A 23,169-nucleotide genomic window follows, 5' to 3' on the forward strand; every position below is an offset into this window, starting at 1 on the left:
TTGGAGAAAATACAGAAATAGAGGGATAAGTTAAACAACACCATGAAAATGCAACTAGCCAACTCTAAAATATGGGAAGTTCTACATTACAAATATGACTTGATTTCTTTAACAAATAATTGTAATTGGAAAATAAAAGTTGATGTGTGGTGGGGGAAAGGTGAATTGTTAAAATTCAAGGAGACTTTGGAGAGTATCATCTAAGTACAAAGCGTGGACCTTATTTAAATCCTCTTTCACACAAACCAAATATAAAAAGACATTTTTCAGACAAGTTGTGAGATTTTTACATTTGACTTACTAGATATTATTTATTATTATTAGATATTATATAGATAATATTAGGTATTCAGGAATTTAAAGTCCTTATTTTTTAGTGATGCAAAAGTATTTACAGATGTCTGGAATTTGCTTTGAAATGATCTAGCAGTAGGGGAGGGGAGGGTTGGTTAGATAATAGGACAAATAAGTGACAGAAGACAATAGAGGGATGGTTATGTTGATTATAAGAGACTTAAAATACACATTGAGTAAATGCATTGTGAAAACTTTGTTTGGACCCTGATCTAAATAAAGTATAAAGAGACATTTTTGAGACAGTTGGAGAAAATTGACCATGAATGAGGTGTTATTTGACATTTATCAACTATAACTAATTTGCTGGGTATGTAATTGTGTATTTGTTTTGTAGAGACAGAGTCTCGCTGTGTTGCCCAGGCTAGTCTTGAACTCCTGGGTTACCACCTGGGTCTTCCACAGTGTTGACATAAGCCACTGCATATTGCCTTGTAACTAATTTTTTAAAAGTCATTATTTATTAGGCATATATTCTGAATTATTTACAGGTGAACAGAGATGATATCTCTAATGTGCTTTAAAATATTCTAGCAAAACAAACAATGAGATATAGTCAACAGATCTGCAGAGCGTTAATTGTTGAAGTTGAATGATGTCCATGTAGGTGGGTCATGTTAACATTCTCTATATTTTTGTGTATGTTTGGAAATTTCTCTTAATAGGAAGCAAAAACAACACCCTTCACCAACTTTTTTACTTACTTTAGCTTTATGACTTGATTTATTGTTCGTTTTCAAAAGCTTTCCCAGCTGTTGTGTTTTAGAGTGACCTTCTTGCGTTGCATAGTGAATCCCGTGGAGATTTTTATTTAAATTGCATTGAAATTACATTTTAATACAGTTAGAACTGACATCTTTATGTTGTAGAAGTTTTGCAACTAGGAATTTTAACATTTTAAAATTTGTCATTGCTGTGGTATGGCAAAGCTATTGATAATTTTGTATTGAATTTGTGTATGCCTGCTTTGCTAGATTCTCTTGTAAGATTAAGTAGTTTTTCAGTAAATTTTCTTGGAATTTCTAAGTGGAATACATTTTCTGAAAATTATTATCTTTTTTGTTTTTATTTTTCTCTTATTATATTGTCTAGGAATTCTAAAATATTATGCAACTGTAGTAGTGATAGCTATACTCTTTGCTTTTTGAATAATATCTTTTATTTTGACTTCATTGTTTTGCCCTATTTCTTGCATGTTTTTCATGATATAAGTAATACATAATAACATTTTGGAGGTAAATTTTAGACAATCTTGAACTACATGGAACAAAAACATCAAAGTTACCTGACCCATTAACCTCTGCACCCAGAGCTGCTTTGCTTGTCAATTTGTTGTGCATTCTTAAGATCCCCAAACATGTTTATTGTAGATGAAATTGTTCTTAACAGTGCAGTGGTATTATATCTTTTTCAATTATTATCCTAGCACTGGAGATCTGAGGATTAAAAAAATGATTTTACTTAACCTTACTAATTTGAGTTCTGACATTTAAAGATCAATAGTTCTTAAAAGCTATGTATGTTTATTTCTAATTAATATCTAGGGGAAAATCCAATTTACTGATTGATAGGGTCTTGGCATTTTCTTTTCTTTCTTTTTTTTTTTTTTTTTTTTTTCTTTGGAGACGGAGTCTCTATCGCTCAGGCTGGAGTGCAATGGCACAATCGCGGCTCACTGCAGCCTCTGTCCTCCCGGGTTCAAACAGTTCTCCTGCCTCAGCACCCCTGAGTAGCTGGGACTATAGGCACCCGCCACCACACCTAGCTAATTTTTGTATTTTTAGTAGAGACAGGGTTTCACCATGTTGGCCAGGCTGGTCTTGAATTCCTGACCTCAGGTGATGCACCCGCCTCAGCCTCCCAAAGTGTTGGGATTACAGGCATGAGCCACTGCACTTGGCTGGGTCTTGGCATTTTCATAGTCCAAGTTCTATTTGAATTAATTCATGAGCTTTAATTAAAATGTAAAAATCTTGAATTTTTATCCCTTACTGTATATTTTTTCCTGCTTTTTGTGTTCTTGTTGCTACAGTTTAGAAAAGACTAAAGACAGGAAATGGGTTTGCACATTTTTCTTTATCTCTGTTATTTTATTCTCAGGCTAAACTGGGAAGTCTTATCTTTTAAATTTTTTAAAAATTATTTTTAAACTTTTTTTTTTTTCTTTTGAGACAGAGTCTTGCTCTGTTGCCCAGGCTGGAGTGCAGTGTCTCGATCTTGGCTCACTGCAACCTCTGCCTCCTGGGTTCGAGTGATTCTCCTGTCTCAGCCTCCCGAGTAGCTGGGGTTACAGGCGCCCAACAGCATGCCCAGCTAATTTTTGTGTTTTTAGTAGAGACGGGGTTTCACTATGTTGGTCAGGCTGGCCTCAAACTCCTGACCTCAGGTGATCCACCCATCTTGGCCTCCCAAAGTGCTGGGATTACAGGTGTGAGCCACCGTGCCTGGCCTAAACTTTTATTTTAAGTTCAGGGGTACATATGCAGGTTTATTATGTAGGTATATTCATGTCATGGGGGATTGTTGTACAGATTATTTTGCCATTCAGGTACTAGGCCTAGTACTCAGTAGTTATTTTTTTCTGATCCTCTCCCTCCTTCCATCTTCCACCCTCAAGGAGGCCCCAGTGTCTGTTCCCTCTATGTGTCCATGTGTTCTCATCATTTAGCTTCTACTTATAAGTGAGAACATGCAGTATTTGGTTTTCTATTCCTGTATTAGTTTGCTAAGGATAATGCCCTCCAGCTCCATCCACGTTCCTGCAAAGACATGATCGCATTCTTTTTTATGACTGCATAATATTCCATGGTGTCTATGTACCATGTTTTCTTTATCTAGTCTGCCATTGATAGGCGTTTAGGTTGATTCCATGTCTTTGCTATTAGGAATTGCACTGCAGTGAACATGTGCATGCATGTGTCTTTATGGTAGAATGTTTGATATCCTGTTGTATATTTACTCAGGAATGGGATTGTGCTGGGTTGAATGGCAATTCCGTTTTTAGCTCTTTGAGGAATTGCCACACGGCTTTCCCCAGTGATGGAACTAACTTACACTCTAACAGTGTATAAGCGTTCCCTTTTCTCCACAACCTAAGGAGCATCTGTTATTTTTTGACTTTTTAATAATAGCCATTCTGGCTGGTGTGAGATGGTTTATCCTGGTTTTGATTTGCATTTCTCTAATGACATTCTTTTGAAAAGTGTCTGTTCATGTCCTTTGCCCACTATTTAATGGGGTTTTTTGTTTTTTTTTCTTGTAAGTTTGTTTAAAGTTCTTATAGATGGTGGATACTAGACTTTTGTGAGATGCATAGTTTGCAGATATTTTATCTCATTCTATAGATTGTCTGTTTACTATGTTGATTGTTTCTTTTGCTGTGCAGAAGCTCTTTAGTTTGATTGGAGCCCATTTGTCAATTTTTGCTTTTGTTGTGATTGCTTTTGGTGTCTTTGTCATGAAACCTTTGCCAGTTCCTGTGTCCAGAATGGTATTGCCTAGGTTGTCTTCCAGAGTTTTTATAGTTTTGAGTTTTATATTTGAGTCTTTAATTCATCTTGAGTTGATTTTTTTTTTTTTTTGAGATGAAGTCTCGTTTTTGTCACCCAGGCTGGAGTGCAATGGCGTGATCTCTGCTCACTGCAACCTCTGCCTCCCGAGTTCAGGCGATTCTCCTGCCTCAGCCTCCCGAGTAGCTGGGCTTAGAGGCACCTGCCACCACATCCAGCTAATTTTTGTATTTTTAGTATAGATGGGGTTTCACTATATTGGCCAGGCTGGTCTCGAATTCCTGACCTTAGGCAATCTACCTGCCTCGGTCTCCCAAAGTGCTGGGATTACAGGCGTGAGCCACTGGAGTTGATTTTTTATATGATGTAAGGAAGGGGTTCAGTTTCAACCTTCTGCACATGGCTAGCCAGTTACCCGAGAACCATTTATTGAATAGGGAGTCCTTTCCCCATTGCTTGTTTTTGTCAGCTTTGTTGAAGATCAGATGGTTGTAGGTATGTGTCCTTATTTCTGGGGCTCTCTAGTCTGTTCCATTGGTTTGTGTGTCTGTTTTTGTATTAGTACCATACTGTTTTGCTTACCACAGTCCTGTAGTATAGTTTGAAGTCAGGTAACATGATGCCTCCAGCTTTGTTCTTTTTGCTTAGGATTACGTTGGTTATTTGGGCTCTTTTTTGGTTTCATATGAATTTTAAAATAGTTTGGGAATCTTATTTTAGAAAATTGTGGTGAAATGCAAAAAAAAAATTCCACCATTTTTACCATTTTAAAGCATACAGTTCAATGGTATTAATTCACACTGTTGTGCATCCATCACCATCATCTAGGTAATCTTAGCCTTTAGCATTGAATGACTTTTCTAAGCTATCACCATTTAACATTTTACCCATACTAGTAGTTCCTTGATTAGAGAAAAACTAGAAAATGGAATTTTAGTCATTAACACAGTGTCTTTTCTTCTAATGTTCCCATCAGGCAAATTATTATTTATGTGCAAATTTTAACTCATTCATGAGTAAATATGGGAATATTTAACATCTCATACATATAATGCCCAATTTCTTTCTTCTGGATTAAATACTTAAAATATTTTTACCTTCTTGAGGGTAATAAGGATTATTATATCTGTTTTATTCTTCACCAAAAATACATACAATGCATACTTTTAAAGTTCCTACTGAGTTTAATGAAATTGATTTTTCTATTAAGATTTCATTTTAGAAGTATATTCATTGGATCATGATTTATATTTTTCATTCATGCAATATTCATGTTAAAAATTACCTTATTTCTTCTCTTCCTTATCTAGGTGGAATCAATTCTTCTCTTCCTTGTGTTACTCATTTTACGCCCCATTATAGTACTTATTATTTTGTATTTTGACTGGTTGTCTACTTGTTTGTCTCCACTAATACTGGGATTTCTTTTAAAAATAAATTGTACCTCATTGATTTTTATATGCATAGGCCTTCCACTAAGGCAGATACATTTTTTTCCTTGGACCATTTGAAAGTAGATTGCCAACATGACATGATGCCCTATTACCCTCAATGCTTGAATGTGTATTTTCTACAAATGAGAACATTCTTCTGTGTAACCATAAAAAAGTCAAATCAATAAATTTTCACCATCTAATTTTGAAAGTCCATTTTGGTTTCACTGATTGTCCCAGTAACTAGCTAAAGGATCTAGTTCAGGGAAACTGAATTTTTTTTTTTTTTTTTTTGAGACAGAGTCTTGCTCTGTCTCCAGGCTGCAGTGCAGTGGCGCTATCTCAGCTCACTGCAACCTCCCGACTGCCTGGTTCAAGCGATTCTCCTGCCTCAGCCTCTGGGATTACAGGCAGACGCCACCAAGCCCAGCTAATTTTTTTTTGTAATTTTAGTAGAGATGGGGTTTCACCATGTTGGTGGCCAGGATGGTCTGGATATCCTGACCTTGTGATCCGCCCTCCTTGGCCTCCCACAGTGCCAGGATTACAGGCATGAGCCACCGTGCCCGGCTGGAGACTGAATTTTTATATCTCTTTAATCTCCTTCATTCTGGAACAGGTCATTATTATTTCTTTGCCTTTTATGCTCTCGGCACATTTAAATATTACAAGTAATTTATTTTTGTCAAAAGTGCCTCAATTTTTTATCTGATGTTTCATTATGATTAGATTTAGCTTACTCATCCTTGACAGGAATGTCACAGAGTAGGTGCTGGTTCTTATTGCATCCTATCAGGTTGTTACTGATTTTGATTTTGATTTGTTATTGATGATGATCAGTTTAATCACATGACTGAGATGATGTCTGCTGGTCTTCCTCACTGTGCAGTTACTCTTTTGTACTTATAAAAATTTACAAGGTTTTTGGGGCAGTAATTTAAAACTATGTAAATATGCCATTCTGCATTGAACTTTCAATTCATTCCTTTATTTACCTATCATTTTGGTCTCATAGATTCCTATTTTATTCAATGGATTATATTTGTTCAATAATTACTTATTATAGTGCACAAAATGTCCCACATTTGGCCAGTGGGAGCCCAATAACTTGGTGTCTGTGTCCTTTTGACATATCTTCACCACTTTCTGAGCTTGTCCTTACTTTCTGGCACAACTAACTTGCTTACCCTTAAGTTTAATTATTATTTGTTTTTGTCTCTTTTGTATGGAAGTTTTAAATTTGATGAGCATTTTATCTAGAGTTAATATTTCACTGTGCTGCTGGGCACATTTTATTTCTTACCTCTTTTTCAAATCCCATCCCATCTGTTCTAGTCACTGAGATGCTCTACCTCATCTCTGACCTTTTAGAATTTGGATATTTTAAGCACTTAACACCTATTTTTGATACCTCTTTGTATTAAAGTTATTTGCCATTTAATTTATCTATAAGTTCAATATGGAAATAGAAATTTTGCTTAAGCTTCTTGGCATCTCTCATGCATAGAATGGAGCCTTGCATATTGTAGTGCAAATGTTTGCTAATGCCAGTGATGTTCCTACTTAACAGGTAGGAAAGTCAAATAGAAATTATTTAAATGATTATGCTCTAGAACACACTCTGTATGGGAGACTGGGAATTTCTAAACCCCAAATACCAGGACCTCAGTGACCACAAAATTAATTTTATAAGGTTCTACAGAAAATTATTTTGAACTGATATATAAAATTTAACACCAGTCGTGAAATCTATATGTCACATGATCTGTTTGGCCCTCTTTGAGTACTACAAAAGCATGTTTTTCTGGATTCTTCCAAGAACTCTGACGGTACTTTAATCAGGCAAGGAAAAAAATTCAGTATGTGTATCTAATTATACTGAATTAAGTTGTTTTGTGGTCTATGACTTGGGATATCCTTTGCATCTGACAGTAATTTTCCTCGTAAAGCACATATGCAGTAAGAAAAATAGTCCTTGTTTTCAACAGTAAGTATAAACCTTACACATATTTTGTTAACATACTTTCTCAAACAGACTCAAGTCATTTTTGTACTTAGCATGCTAATTTTGGCAAATGGCAAACTTGCTTTTGAAACAAAATCAGAAAAGTGTTAATTTTACCATTCTAGAATAATACTGTGAAATAATATAGTTAGTATCTTCAATTGTCAAGGGGAAAATCATCTAGTTATTCAGTGTTATTAACTGATAACTATTTGATGGTCATTTTAGATAAATGCAAATATTTGTTTTTAGTGTGAACATGTTCCAAATATTTCCTAGTTATGGTTTTACTAATATTCAAGTTTAACTGGGCTTTCTGTATTTATTTTTGTGAATCTAGCAACCCTGTGCATGACCCTATCTATAGTCATGTAATTCTTCAGTTTTTCTGCAAAAACGTCATTTTTATTGAGATATAATTTACATACTATAAAATTCATTTTTAGAAGTGCAATTCAGTGGTTTTTGTTATGTTTTTACAGTTTGCATATCATCACTAGTATCTAATTTCAGGACATTTTTGTAATCCTTAAACCACTTATCCATTAGCAGTCACTCCTCATTCCTGTTTTCCCTGCTCCCCTATATACTTGGATGCTGATTAGTAATTATATAACTAAGGACAGGCTAAATACCTTCTCTAATCTTCAAGTTACTCTTCTGTAAAATGGGGCCAATACCGATTTCAGAGTTTATTGAGGAAATAACAGAAATACTATATGTAAAATGCTTAGCAAAGCACTGGCACAGTAAATGCCAAATACAGAGTCAATATTAGGACCTCTACTTTTGGCCAATATAGCGTTAAGAGCTGGATTAACCCTCCTACCTGAAACAACTAAACAATGAACAGTAGTTTTCTATTTACTGTACATTAGTCATTGAAAGATGGCAATCCCTGATAGATGAAGAACAAATGAGAGGATGCCTATGGTTGCCCCAGTTTATTGCTTTGAAAGAGTTTCCAGTCATGGTGCAGGAAGGGGGAACCCTAGTGGAGCCTAGCAGTCTCCCTGAATTGATGAGGTATTGCTAAGAGTCCTGGGAGGCCAAGATCATAGATTCTCAATACACTGGACCAGAGACATGGGAGCTGCAGAGAGAGAATCCCAGAGATCTGCAGAGGAGACATGCGAACAAAGAAAGAACTACCGTCAGATCAGAAAGGCAAGAGTAAAACTATCTTTTATTCAAAAATGACATGATTGTCTATGTTGAAAAACTAAAGGATTTTATTTTATTTTTAAAAAACTAATAAATGATTTTAACAAGGTTACAGGATATTAGATCAATATACAAAAATCAGTTGCATTTCTATATACTAACAACAATGAATTGATCATTTAAAAAATCCAGAAGTGTATACTACTGACATTCAATAAGCAAGACTTGTACTCTGAAAGCTAGAAAATATTGCTCAGAGTAAAGACCTAAATAAATGGAGAATTAAACCATTTTCTTGTGCTAGAATACTTACCATCATTAAAATGTCAGTTCTTCCCAGATTTATCCATAGACTCGATGTAATCTGCATCAACATCCCAGCAGGGTTTTCTTTTGGTTAAACATTAACAAGATAATTCTAAAATTCACATGAAAATGCACAACACTTATGAGCAAAATAATTTTGAAAAAGAAAAAGTTGGAGAAATGTCACTACCTATATCAAGACTTACTAAAACTACAATAATCAGTAGGGATCCTGTGACCATTCCCACACATGTGGAGACAACTTATTTTTGACAAAGGTGCAAAGATACAAAGTGGAGAAAGATTAGTCTTTTCCACAAATTAACAAATTAACTCAAATTAGATCATAGACTTAAATGTAGAACCTACAACTATGAAGTTATTAGAGCACCAAAAGAAACCTTCGTGACTTGGGTTAGGGACAGACTTTTAAAATGTGACACCAAGGTTGGACACAGTTATAATTCCAGTACTTTGGGAGGCTAAGGTGGGAGGATCGGTTGACCCCAGGAGTTCAAGACCAGACTGGGGAACATAGAAAGACTCTGTCTCTACAAAAGCAAAAAAAAAGTTAGCCAGGCCTGGTGGTGCATGTCTGTAGTCCCACCTCCTTGGGAAGCTGAGGTGGAAGGATCGCTTGAGCCTGGGAGGTCAAGACTGCAGTGAGTCATGATCACACCACTGCACTCCAGCCTGGGAAACAGAGCAAACCCCTGTCTCAAAAAAAAAATTTTTTTTTTGGTTTTGTTTTTGCTTTGCAAAATTTTCTATTCCAAAGCCCATTAAAGAAAAATTGATAAACTGGATTTCATCAAAATGAAACACATCTGCTTTTTGAACAAAACCATTAAGAGAATGAAAAGACACAAGTTGTATGTCTTATGTCCACAATACCTTTAAAGAACTAACTCCCCACAGTCAGTGAATAGAGGAACTAAATTTCTCATATTTCATACATTGCTGTTGGTACAGCTTCTCTGGGAAATAATTTTGCATTTACTTAAAATATTAATATGTACTTACCATAGAACCCAGCAATTTCAGTCCTGGGGCAGATTGTTCATATTATAAAATTCATGTTGTTCAGGATGATGTCCAGATTTACTCAATGGTTTTTTTCCTGTGGTTACTACAACAAATTGCCATGAACTTGGGAGCCTAAAATATCAAAAATTATTCTCCTACAGTTTTGGAGGGCAAAAATCTAAAATCAAAATGTAAGCAAGGCTGCACTTCCTTTGGAAATTCTGAGGAAGAATTTGTTCTTTGCCCTTTCTAGCCTTTGATGGCCTTTAGCATTCTTTGAGTTATAGCCACATCACTCAGTCTCTGTCTCTCTGATTGTATTACATCCTCCTCATTTCTGAGTCAGCTCCTCTTCTGTATTTCTTGTAAAGATACATGTGATTGTTTTAAGTACCAACCTGGATAACCCAGGGATAAGCCCCTTCTCTTAGGATTTATAACCTAATCACTTATTTTGCCAAAGAGTAACTCTTTGATCCTTTGAGGGATGTGGACATGTCTTTTGGGGGCTATAATTCACTTCTCTGTATTCTATCCTCTGCCTCCCAGAATTCATGTTCATGCCATATGCTAAGTATTACCTCTTTTCCCTACCAACATCCCCAAAAGTCACAACCCATTCATTACAGCATCAACTCTAAGTCTAAATTTTTTTTAAAAATATTATCGGCTCAAAGGTCCAATCTTATCATCTCAATCATCTGACTCTGGTATGGTTGAGACTCTGGAATTTATCCTAGGGCAAAATTCCTGTGCTTCTGTGGACCTGTGAAACTACAATAAAAGTTACCTCCTGCCAAAATACAGTAGTAGGATATGCGTAGGATAGACATTTCAAAAGGAAGAAATGGAAAAGAATAAAAGAGTCACTGGTTTCAAACATGTTTAAAATCTAGCAGGGCAAATTCCATTGTGTTTCAAGGCCAGAGTTTCCCATCTGGCTTGAGGCACTGCCCTCCTGGACTGCGGCTTCATTTTCTGGGCCTGTGGCTCTGCCCATTCCTGCCTTTGTACACACAGCTTAGGCCTTTAAGTGCACATCTCTGCCCTTGGAGTCATTCATACATTTTATTGAAGGGTAGCACAGGTTTGCACCTAGGTAGCTCTATCAGCCTGTTTCCTGCTTGTGGAATTTTGCAAGTCCAGTAGCTGCCTTCTTCTTCTTTTTCTTTTTTTTTTTTTAATCATGCCTTTGTGCCTTTCAGTCCAAGATGGCGGTGTTTCTGCAGATACTACATTCTCAAAAACCTTGTGTATCTCCTGTGTATGTCATGGGGATCCATGCCATCAGACAAGAGGACACTCCACAGATCTTTCTTGCATTTGTCTCTCTATTCCTGGCTTCTGCTGATTGAGTGGATCCATGAAACACATGCCTGATGTCTTCAGCAGAATGTTGTCAAGCTATACTCCTGGCCTTCAGAGCACATTTTCCCAACCATGAAACTCCTCATAGTAACATCTTTTTCTCCTTGGTAGGATATTCAAATACCAGAAGATCCAAAGGAAGTATTATTGAATGGTAAAATAAGAAGCACTCTGAATGGCAGTAAGGGAGACATTTGAGGTCAGGGAGAAATTTTGAAAAACTTATATCATAAATTTTGTCATTTAGCTATGATGGAATGATAGGAACTGGATTAAACCTCTGTATCCGTTAAGGTTCTACCAGAGAAACAGAATCAGTAGGGCATTACAGAGGTTTATCAGCATACATGATTCTGGCGGCTGGCTAGGCTAGTCTGAAATCAGTAGGGCTGGCCAGAAGGAATGTCCAGGTGGAAACTGTCATGCAGGAGCTGCTGCTTCAATCTATAGGATCACAATAGTCACATTAGCAGAATGAACCTCGAGATTACCCAGATGTAGTAAATTATAAAAATTATTTTATTTTTAAAATAAATTTTCAATTTTGGAATCATTTTAGAGTTACAGAAAAGTTGCAAAGATAGTATAGAAAGTTTCTATACCATATCAAATTTCTCCTTTTTTATACTTAAAAAAATATACATATAAAATTTACTATCTTTACCATTTTTAAGTGTACAGTTCAGTGGTAATAAATACATTTCTATTCCTTTTCTTCCCCTTCATTCACCCTGCCCCACACTTCCTGGCCTCTGATAACTGCCATTCTACTCTCTATCTTCATGAGGCCCACTGCTTTTTTTTTTTCACATCAGATGGATAATGTGCTGACATTGTAACGAGGCTTGAGGAAGGCACATCTCACACAGCAGTGTGAAAACCCACTCATCATGCTTATGAACTACAAAAGGATCAAAGATCCACTTTTGTAGTTCCCACCTAGGAGTGAGATCATGCAACATTTCACTGTGCCTGGTTTGTTTCTCTTAACATAATGGCCTCCAGTTTCAGCTATGTTGCTGCAAATGACAGGATTTCATTCTTTTTTTTAAAGCTGAATATTTCATTGCTATATATACCATATATGCTTTATTTATTCATCTGTTGATGAACTCTTAGAGTGATTCCATATTTTGGCTATTGTGAACAGTGCTGCAATAAACATGGAAGTACAGATATCCCCTAGATGCATTGATTTTCTTTCTTTTGGCTATATACCTGGTAGCAGAATTGCTGGATCATATGGTAATTCTGTTTTTAGTTTTCTGAGGAACCTCCATACTGTGCTCCATAGTGGCTGCACTAATTTACATTTCCACCAGCAGTGTGCAAGGGTCTCTTCTCCACATTCTCACCAGCATCTTTTATTGATTGTCCTTTTGATACAAGCCATTTTTACTAGGGTGAGATGATATCTTGTTGTGGTTTTGATTTGTGTTTCTCTGATGACTAGTGATGTTGAGCATTTTTTTTCATATACCTATTGGCCATTTGCATGTCTTCTTTTGAGAAATGTGTGTTCAGGTCTTTTGCCCATTTTTAAATTTTCTTATTTTTTCTTTTGTTTCTAATGGGGTTGGATTTTGCCCATTTTAAAATTGGATTATTTGGGGGTTTTTGCTATTGAGTTACTTGAGCTCTTTATATATTATAGTTATAAATTCTTTGTCAGATGGATAGTTTGCAAATATTTTCTTCCATTCTGTGGGTTGTTTCTTCACTTTGTTGATTATTTCTTTTGCTGTGTAGAAGCTTCTTAGCTTCAGGTAATCCCATTTGTCTATTTTGCTTTGGTTGTCTAGGTTTTGAGGTCTTACACAAAAAGGCTTTGCCCAGACCAATGTCCTGGACTGTTTCTCCAAAGTTTTCTTTTAGTGGTTTCATAGTTTGAGGTCTTAGATTTACGTCTTTAATCGATTTTGATTTGATTTTTGTTATGGTGAGAGATAGAGGTCTAGTTTCATTCTTCTGCATAGCTATCCAGTTATCCCACCACCACTTATTGAAAAGACTGTTCTTTTACCTTCTTATGTTCTTGGCGTCTTTGTCAAAGACGAATTGACTGTAAATGCATGGATGTATGTTTGGTTTCTCTAGTACGTTCCGTTGGTCTGTGTATCTATTTTTATGCCGGCACCATGCTGTTTTGGTTATTATATACCTGTAGTAAATTTTGAAGTCAGAAAGTGTGATGCCTTCAGTTCCTTTGGCTCAGGATTGCTTTGGCTATTTGTGGTCTTTTGTGGCTCCATATAAATGTTAAGATTTTTTTTTTCCTATTTCTGTAAGAATGTTGTTGGAATTTTGATAGGGATTGCATTGAATCTGTAAACTACTTTGGATAGTATTGTCGTTTTAACAGTATTCTTTGATCCATAAGCATGGAATATCTTTCCATTTTTTTGTGTCTTCTTCAATTTCTTTCATATTTCATAGTTTTCTTTTTATAGATCTTTCACTTCTTTAGTTAGATTGAGACCTAGGAATTTTATATTTTTGTAGCTATTACAAATGGGATTGCTTTCTTGATTTCTTTTTCAGATTGTTCCCTGTTGATGTATATAAATGCTATCGATTTTTTTTTTTTTTTTTTGAGATGGAGTTTTGCTCTGTCGCCCAGGCTGGAGTGCAGTGGCGCAATCTCAGCTCACTGCAAGCTCCGCCTCCCAGGTTCATGCCATTCTCCTGCCTCAGCCTCCCGAGTAGCTGGGACCACAGGCGCCTGCCACCATGCCCAGCTAATTTTTTGTATTTTTAGTAGAGACAGGCTTTCACTGTGTTAGCCAGGATGGTCTCGATCTCCTGACCTCATGATCCACCCGCCTCGGCCTCCCAAAGTGCTGGGATTACAGGCGTGAGCCACCACACCCGGCCAAATGCTACTGGTTTTTGTATGTTCATTTTATAACTTGCAACTTTACTGAATTTGCTGATCAGCTGTAACAATTTTTTGGTGAGTTCTGTAGCCTTTTCTGGATATAAGATCATGTTGTCTGCAAACAAGGCTGATTTGAATTCTTCCTTTCCAATTTGGTTGCTCTTTATTTCTTTCTCTTGCCTAATTGCTCTGGCCAGGACTGGCAGTATTATGTTGAGTAACCGTAGTGAGAGTGGACATACTCGTCTTGTTCCAGTCTTTAGAGGAAAGGCCTTCATTTTTTCCCTGTTCCGTATGATGGTAGCTGTGGATTTGTCATATATGGTCTTTATTATTTTGAAGTATGTTGTTTCTATACCCATTTTGATTAGGGGTTTTTTTATATCATAAAGGATGTTGAATTTTATAAAATACTTTTTCAGTATCTATTGAAATATGTGGTTTTTGTTTTTGATTCTGTTAATATGATATATCATGTTTATTGAGTTGCTTATGTTGAACCATCCTTGCATCCCTGGAATGAATCCCATTTGATATTATAAATGATCTTTTTAGTGTGTTGTTGAATTCTGTTTGCTAGTATTTTGTTGAGGATTTTCACATATATGTTCATCACGGATATTGGCCTGTAGTTTTCTTTTCTTGTTGTCGTGTCCTTATCTGATTTTACTGTCAAGGTAATGCTGGCCTTATAGAATGAGTTTGGAAGTATGTCCTCCTCTTCAATTTTTTTGAAGAGTTTGAGTACAATTGGTATTAATTCTTCTTTAAATGTTTGGTAGAATTCAGCAGTGAAGTTGTGAAGTCCTGGGATTTTCTTGCTTTTTATGGAGGCTTTTTATTACAGCTTCAGTTTTGTTACTTGTTATTGGTTTGTTGAGGTTTTCTGTTTCTTCATGATTCAATCTTGGAGGTTGTATGTTTCCAGAAATTTATCCATTTCTTCTAGGTTTTCCAGTTTGTTGGTATATAATTGTTCATAGTAGTCTCTAATGATTTTTTGTGTTTCTGAGGTCTCAGTTGTTATGTGTCCTTTCTTTGTTTCTGATTTTATTTATTTAGGTCTTCTCTCTTTTTTCTTAGTCTAGCTCAAGACTTGTTGATTTTGTTTACATTTTTGAAAACCAATGTTTTGTTCTATTGATCTGTATTTCTTTTTAGCTTCGATTTCATTAGTTCCTGCTCTGATCTTTATTATTTCTGTCTTTACTATTTTTGACTTTGGTTTGTTCTTGCTTCTAGTTCCTTGAGGTATATCATTAGGTTGTTCATTTGAAGCCTTTCATTTTTCTGATATAGGCATTTATTGCTACAAACTTGCCTGTTAGTACTGCTTTTGCTATATCCCATAGGTTTTGGTATATTGAATTTTTTTTTTTTTTTTTTTTGAGATGGAGTCTCACTCCAGGCTGGAGTGCAGTGGCGCAATCTTGGCTCACTGCAACCTCTGCCTCCTGAGTTCAAGTGATTCTCCTGCCTCAGCCTCCAGAGTAACTGGGATTATAGGCGCCCGCCACCACACCTGGCTAATTTTTGTATTTTTAGTAGAGATGGAGTTTCACCATGTTGGCCAGGCTGGTCTTGAACTTCTGACCTCAAGTGATCTGCCCCCTCGGCTTACCAAAGTGCTGGGATTACAGGCATGAGCCACCACGCCCGGCCTATATATTGCATTTCCATTTTTCCATTTTCACTTGTTTCAAGACATTTTAAAATTTCTTTCTTAATTAATTTCTTCATTGACCTATTGGTCACTCAGGAGCATGTTTTTTAATTTCTATGTGTTTATATATTTTCCCCAGTTCTTCTTATTAAGTTCTAGTTTTAGTCCATTGTGGCCAGAAAAGATATTTGATATGATTTTTATTTTAAAAGTTTTGTTCAGATTTGTTTTATGACCTAAGATATGGTCTCTTCTGGAGAATGTCCCATGTGCTAGTAAAGAAAATGTATGCTGCAGCAGTTGGATAAAATGTTCTCTAAACGTAGTTAGGCTTGTTGGATCTGGTGTGTAGTTTAACTCTGCTGTTTCATTGTTGATTTTATGTCTGAATGATTTGTCCATTACTGGAGTGGGGTCTCCTTCTTTTATTGTATTGCAGTCTATCTCTGTTTTAGATCTATTAATATTTTCTTTATAGACTTGAGATGTCCAGTGTTGGTTGAATATTTATAATTGTTACATATGTTTACTTAATTGACCCCTTTATCATTGTATAGTGTCCTTCTCTGTCTCTCTTTATAATCTTAGATTGGTTGTCTATTTTTTCATGTAAGTATAGCTATTCCTGCTCTGTTTTGGTTTCCAGATACGTGGAGTATCTTTTCTCACCCCTTCACTTTCAGTCTATGTGTGTCTTTATAGGTGAAGTGGATTTCTTGAAGGCAGCATGTAACTTGGTCTTGTTTCTTTATCCATTCAGCCACTCCGTGCCTTTTAGTTGGATAATCGAGACCATTTACATTCAGCCTTATTATTGATAAGTAAGAAGATACTACTGCCATTCTTTTGCTAGTTTTCTGGTTGTTTCTTTCTTAGTGCCTTCCTTTGTGGGTAAGTTATTTTCTCTGGTATTATGCTGTTAATTTGTTGCATTTCTTTTTAGTGAGTCTGTTACAGGATTTTGTGTTACAAGTTTTTGTGTTGTGGTTACCAGGAGGCTTATAGAGACATCTTATAATAGATATAACAAGTTATTTTAAAGAGACTACAACTTATCTTAGATCACAAATAGAAGAGTAGAAACAAAGGCAGGCATAAAGAACATGTAAAAAAAATTTATACTTTTACTCTATCACCCAACTTTTTTTTTTTTTTTTTTTTGAGACAAAGTCTTACTCTGTTACCCAGTGGCACGTTCTTGGCTCATTGCAACCTCCGTCTCCTGGGTTCAAGTGATTCTTCTGCCTCAGCCTCCTGAGTAGCTGGGATTACAGACATGTGCCACCATGTCCAGCTAATTTTTTTGTGTTTTTAGTAGAGACAGGGTTTCACTGCATTGGCTAGGCTGGTCTTGATCTCCTGACCTCAAATGATCTGCCCTCTAAAAGTGCTGGGATTACAGATGTGAGTTACCATGCCTGGCACCCCCAGCATCTTGACTTTTGGTTATATCAGTTTATATTTTTTGTATTACCTATGTTTTAACAGGTTGCTAATAGCGATTATTATTTTTGATAGATTTATCTTTTGGGTTTCATACTAGAGTTATGAGTGGATTGTACACCACCATTTCAGTTATAGAGTATTTTGTGTTTCACCATGTACTTTTTACCAGTGGGTTTTATACCTTGAAAAGCTTTCTTTTAGCACATCAGAGTTTTCTTGGTTCAGATTGAATTATTCTCGTTAGCATTTCTTGTTAGGTGGGTCAGGTGGTGGCAAATTATTTGTTTTTGTTTGTCTCAGAAATACTTTATTTCCCCTTCATATTTCAAGTATAATTTTGCTGAATGCAATATTCTTGGATGGCAATGTTTTCTCCTTGAGCACTTTGAAAATGTTGTTATACTCCCTCCTGGCTTATATGATTTACACTGGGAAGTCTGTTGCCAGACAAATTGGAGATACAGTGTTTGCTTCTTTTCTCGTGCTGTTTTTAGGATCTTCTCTTTGTCCTTGACCTTTGAGAGTTTCATTATTATACGTGTTAGAGTACTTTTATTTGGGTTGAGTGTTGTTCTCAGTCCTTCCTATAACTGGATATTTATATCTTTCTTAAGTTTTAGAAAGTTTTCCATTATTATTTCTTTGGCTGCATTTTCTACCCTTTAGTCTTATCTCCCTCTTGAATACCAATAATTCTTAGATTTGGTCTTTTGAGGTAATTGTCTGCATCCTGTTGGTGGTATTCATTCCTTTTTGTTCTTTGTCCTTCTCCCACCACCCCCCACACCCCCAATTGTATTTTCAAATAGCCAGTATTTTAGGTCACTGATTCTTTCCTTCACTTGGTCCATTCCACTGTTGAGAGTCTCTGATGACTTCTTCAGTTCAGCAAATATGTTTCTCAGTTCCAAGATTTCTATATTTTTTCCCAATCTCTTTGTTAAATTTCTCTGATAAATTTCTGAATTGCTTTTCTGTGTGTTTGTTGTTGTTGTTGTTGTTGTTGTTGTTTTGGAGATCACTGAGTTTTCTTAAAACTGCTATTTTGAATTCTTGGTCAGAGGGCTCACAGATCACTCTTTCATTAGGGTCTGTCACTGGAGTTTTGCTTTGTCCATTGGAGAGGTCATAATTCCCTACTTGCTGTTGTTTTTTTCGTGTGTATATCTGTATCTTTGCATTGATACTTTATTTCAGTTTTATCTGTCTACCTTGTTTTGATTTTATTGGGTATATTTTGCTTAGTGCATTTTTTTTAATCCTTTTAGAGTCAGGGCTCATTTTGTTGCCCAGGCTGGAGTACAGTGGTGCAGTCATTGCTCACTGTAATCTTGAACTCTTGGGCTGGAGCAATCCTCTAACCTCAGCCTCCTGAGTAGCTAGGACTACAGGCACGTGACACCATACCTGGCTAACTTTAAAAAGAATTTTTTTTGTTGTTGTTGTTAGAGACAGACTCTCATTGTGTTGCCCTGCCTGTCACAAACTCCTGGCCTGAAGTGATCCTCTCACCTGCCTTGGCCTTTCAAGGCACTGGAATTACAAGCATGAGGCAGCGTGTCTGGCCTGTTAGTGAATCTTTACAGCTAAGTTGTTGCCTTTTTTTTTTGGATATAGGTGGTACCTAAAGCCCAGGTTCACCTTGGCTCTGCTAAATGATTGTAGTACTGCCTATCCTGATTTGGGAGCATCCCAAAGTGGTTATCCCCACAGTGTGTCAAGTCTGGCTAGGGGTTTGTGCCCAGGGACCTTTGTAATGTATTGCCTACTACATGGTGCTGCTGAACAGCCACTCTAATTTGGTGTCTCCTTTGGCCAAGTAATGGAACAAAGTTTCCAGGGCTAGGGATGGTAGTCTAGCCTCCCCACTTTGTCTTGGCCTGTCCTCAGGGTTGTTTCTCCCATCAGGCAGCCACGATACTTCCTGCCAGTTAAGGCAAGGATAGTTTTCCTGCCAGAGCACCCAAGATGGTGGGAAAGCTGGTTTACCACCTCAGTCTCACTTTTTCCAGTATAGTCACCATGAGTTGGGGGGGGAGATTTTCTGTGCTCTTGATGCCAGGCAGAATCGGGGGAGGGGCATTACAGATCTGGAAGTCTGAATCTCTTACCATTCACTCTGAGGTTTTCTTTTTCACTTCTCTGTGGCCTCAGGAATTGTCTCATCCTCATATTTGAGTTCTGAGTGTTTCTGGTTAAAATCTCGGTACTATATATTTGTTTTTGGTTTTCTGCAGGGGTAGTGAAGCCAGCTAGCTTCTATACCACCGTTTTGGAACTGGAAGTCTCCATCTTCTAGTAGAAATTATTTTAAAGCATCTATTATTACTATGCTCAGTGATATGAAGGAAAATATGCTTCTTTTAAATAAAAGGGTAGGAAATGTCAGCAGAGAAAGAGAAAATATAGGAAATTACCTAGTGAAAAGTCTACAACTTAAAAATACAATATCAAAAATAAAAATGAAATGGATGTGTTAATAGCAGAATTTGAGTGAGTAAATGAATTTGCAGATAGATCACTAGAAATTTCCAAACCAAATGAGTGAAAAAATAGAAAATAAGTAGAGCCTTAGCAACTTGTGGGACAATATCAGAGCCAACATACATGTAGTTATTGCAGAAGGTGAGGAGAGTAAGGGAGGAAAAAAAATCTAAAAGTGGGAAACTTTCCACTTTTGTTGAAAGACATACATTTACAACTTCAAAAAGATAAGCAAACAACACATAAGATTAAGTACAACAAAAACCATGTCAAAGGACATCATAGTCATTTTTCTGAAAACCAAAGTAAGGAGGAAATCTTGAAAGTAGGCAGACAAAAGTAATGCATTGCACACACAGAAAGTACATTTTAACACACTATTGACTTCTCACTGGAAACCATGGAAGTCAGAAGACAGTGGAATAACATGTCTGAAGGACTCAAAGAATAAAATATTGGCCACCTGAAGTTTTCCATCAAACAACAATATCTCTCAAGGATGAAGGAGCAGTAAAGGCGAGACATCCACACTGTAAATTATGCTAATGGCACATAATACCAGAAGCAAACTTGCAGCTTTAGGAAATAGTGAAGAATATGGTCATTTCTTGTTGAATAGAAAGGATGATTTTTCCCTTTTAAAAATTTGTGTCTAATATATGGGAATGATTGAATTATTTTGTTGGTATTGTATTATATGTACATGTAATACATATGACAACTATAGCACAAAGATGGAGGGTGCTAGGGTGGAGGCAGGTATATGGAGCTGTACTATTGCAAGGTTCAACATTGCTATACATAAAAAATCAATGCTTCAATGAAAATGGCATACTAAAAAATGTTCAGTTAATACAAAAGACAGGAAAGGAAAGGCAGAAGCACAAGAAAAAGAGGGATAAACAGAAAACAGATATTAAATGGTATATCAAAATTCAACCATATAGAAATTAAATATTAATGTACTCCAATATAAAGGAAGAAATTGCCTATAAGGTAGTGTTGAATATAGAGACATTAATATGATAGTAAATGTATATTAAAAGATACATCATCCAAATAAGAAACATAAGAATATTGGAAATTCAACTATATTAGTATCAACTAAAATAGAATTTAAGACAAAGCCTATTACCAGAGATATTTTGTACTGTTCAAAAGTCAAATTATCAGGAAAATTTAAATGTATGCACGTAGACTCAGTTTTAAATGCACATAATTTAAATGCATCTTGACATTTTGGGCTGTATGATAAAAAATAAAATAAATGTATGCATCTAAAACTGAGTTTTAAAATACATTAAATAAAATCAGAATTAATAGGATGAATAATTCTACAATCAGCATTGTTGATTTTAATACCACTTTCTTGATGTTGATAGAATAGAGAAAAAAGACATAAATTATTAGAGTAACACTACTAGCTACATTGGCCTATTAGATAACCAAACCCAACAACTGCAGAATACATATTATTTTCAATTATGACATCATGCCTAGTTTGAATGGATATGAAACAGTGGATAATAGATGATACTTAAGTCAGAGGCAAAACATTTATTATGGATGGATTTGGATGGCAATCACAGTGCAGTGCAGGGTACTGTAGGCTTGATAAGCAGCTTGATTCCAGTCATTTCCATCAGTGAATAGAACCTTACCTTGGCTGTGAGTGATCCAGATTGTTCAATTAGCAACTATGATTTGTTTGCAGAACTCATGGCCCCAAAGAGGTGCATCTGTAGTCTGCGAGTGTTTAGTCTTCCTTGTGGCAGATGAGACCACTGGCCAGGCCATTGCCAACTGAGGAAAAGTCAGTAAAAATGAAACTTCTAGAGGGTTTTCAGAATTAGGAGGCGGCGAACTTTTTCTTTAAAGGACCAGATAATAAGTATCTTTGACTCTGCATTCCATATTGTCTCTATACTCAGTTCTCCTGCTGTCATACAAAAGCTTCCATAGGCAGTACATAAATGAATGGGCACAGTTGGCCCACCGACATAGTTTTTACCTAACCCTGAATTAAAGCTGGGGTGATGGCTTTGCATTATTCTATCATGCTGGTTGCTCCTTATTTCAATCAGCCTTCCAGAGTTGTTGGGGTTATACAGCTATCAAGGCCCAGTGGGCATCATCAGGTTTCATCTTAGCTGAGCCATCAGTCAATCAGGCCCAGGTATTTAAAGGAAGCTCTGTGAATCCAGTGCCTCTTGAGCCAGTGGCATGCTTCTGACAGTGGAATAAAAGATAAAGTGGCTGTAATACCCAAGGTTCTGCTCAACCAGACTGGCTGTACTCTGGAATATACCATTTCCATTTGAATAGCGGTCCCTGTTGGTTGGGCTCTTCCCACCTTGTTCATTTTCAAATTTTAGTTGACCCATCCCCAAGTAGGTCTAGAAAGTCACAAGGCCTCCATGGGTCAGTTGTTCAATTACAATTAGAACTTTGTAGCTGGTTAATAGCAGCCTTCTAAAAAAGGGAGTGTACTTGGTGGCTGCATCAGGCAGGTGGCGATGTTGTACTGAGATAACACCTCTGAGTACTTCAGCAGCCATTAAGTCTTTACCTAAACATTTTACTCTTGGAATCCTACGTTGTTTCTGGCATATAATATGGGAAGGAACTGGAAGTCTAGTAGGTGGTCTGTTGTGCAGTTGTCCCACTATCACCTTGGTGTACATGTTCGATGATATCCTCTGGCACAAGCATTTAAGTACAGTCATGTAAGCCATTAATACCAGTTATATATTCACCAACATAAGTCAAAATGATAGTACATTGAATCGGACTAAAGGGTCCCACCATTTTATATCCCATTCCAGTGTATTTTTCCTCCATGAAAAGCATGGACTAGCGTTTTTAATGTGCACATGCCAGTTGCTCCAGTGACAATTGCCCTTCAGTAATGTTATCCCCTGTGCATGGCAGGGGAAGCTACCCTTTGCATAAGGTGGGACAGCTAGGATGTTGGGCTTTTATCTCACTTGGCCTTTTTTTTTTTTTTTTTTTTTTGAGACAGGGTCTTGCTCTGTCACGTAGGCTAGAGTGTAGTAGTGCAATCATTGCTCACTGCAGCCTTGAACTCCTGGGCTCAAGAGATCCTCCACCTCAGCCTCCCAAGTAGCTGGGACTACATACAGTTGCATACCACCATGCCCAGCTAATTTTTATAAAAATTTTTTAGAGAGGCTGTTGCTATGTTGCCCAGGCTGGTCTTGAATCCATGGCCTCAAGAGATCCTCCCACTTTGGCCTCCCAAAGCTCTGAGATTGCAGGCATGGGTCACTGTGTCCAGCCCGAAAGTGCACGTGTTTTTATCAGTTCTGAAGGATAAAAAATGTTGAAGTACATGGCTGGGAATGTTTCTAGAACTTGTATTTTAATTCCCTTTTTTATATTTCTATATGTTTTCATTAAACATAACCTCATCAAATGGCTTGGACTTTGGCAAGGTAGTTATTGCTATATGCAGTTATCTTTATGATAACTCTCTTCGTCTTGAGACTTTTTATCCGAGCATTGCTCTTGGG

The 23,169-nt window shown here is 36.7% G+C and overlaps 1 protein-coding gene and 1 non-coding gene across 9 annotated transcripts in view; one reads left to right on the forward strand and one right to left on the reverse strand.

Annotated features, from left to right (window-relative positions):
- BCAS3 (BCAS3 microtubule associated cell migration factor) overlaps positions 1 to 23,169 on the forward strand; it is a 714,981-nt gene that overhangs the window by 271,965 nt on the left and 419,847 nt on the right. The gene's annotated exons all lie outside the window — the stretch shown is intronic.
- On the reverse strand, positions 11,975 to 12,078 carry LOC124904118 (small nucleolar RNA U13). The gene has a single exon (XR_007065997.1). It is a non-coding gene; the product is annotated as a small nucleolar RNA U13 (small nucleolar RNA).

Source organism: Homo sapiens, chromosome 17 (genome assembly GCF_000001405.40).
Source record: "Homo sapiens chromosome 17, GRCh38.p14 Primary Assembly".
Classification (NCBI taxonomy): Eukaryota; Metazoa; Chordata; class Mammalia; order Primates; family Hominidae; genus Homo; species Homo sapiens.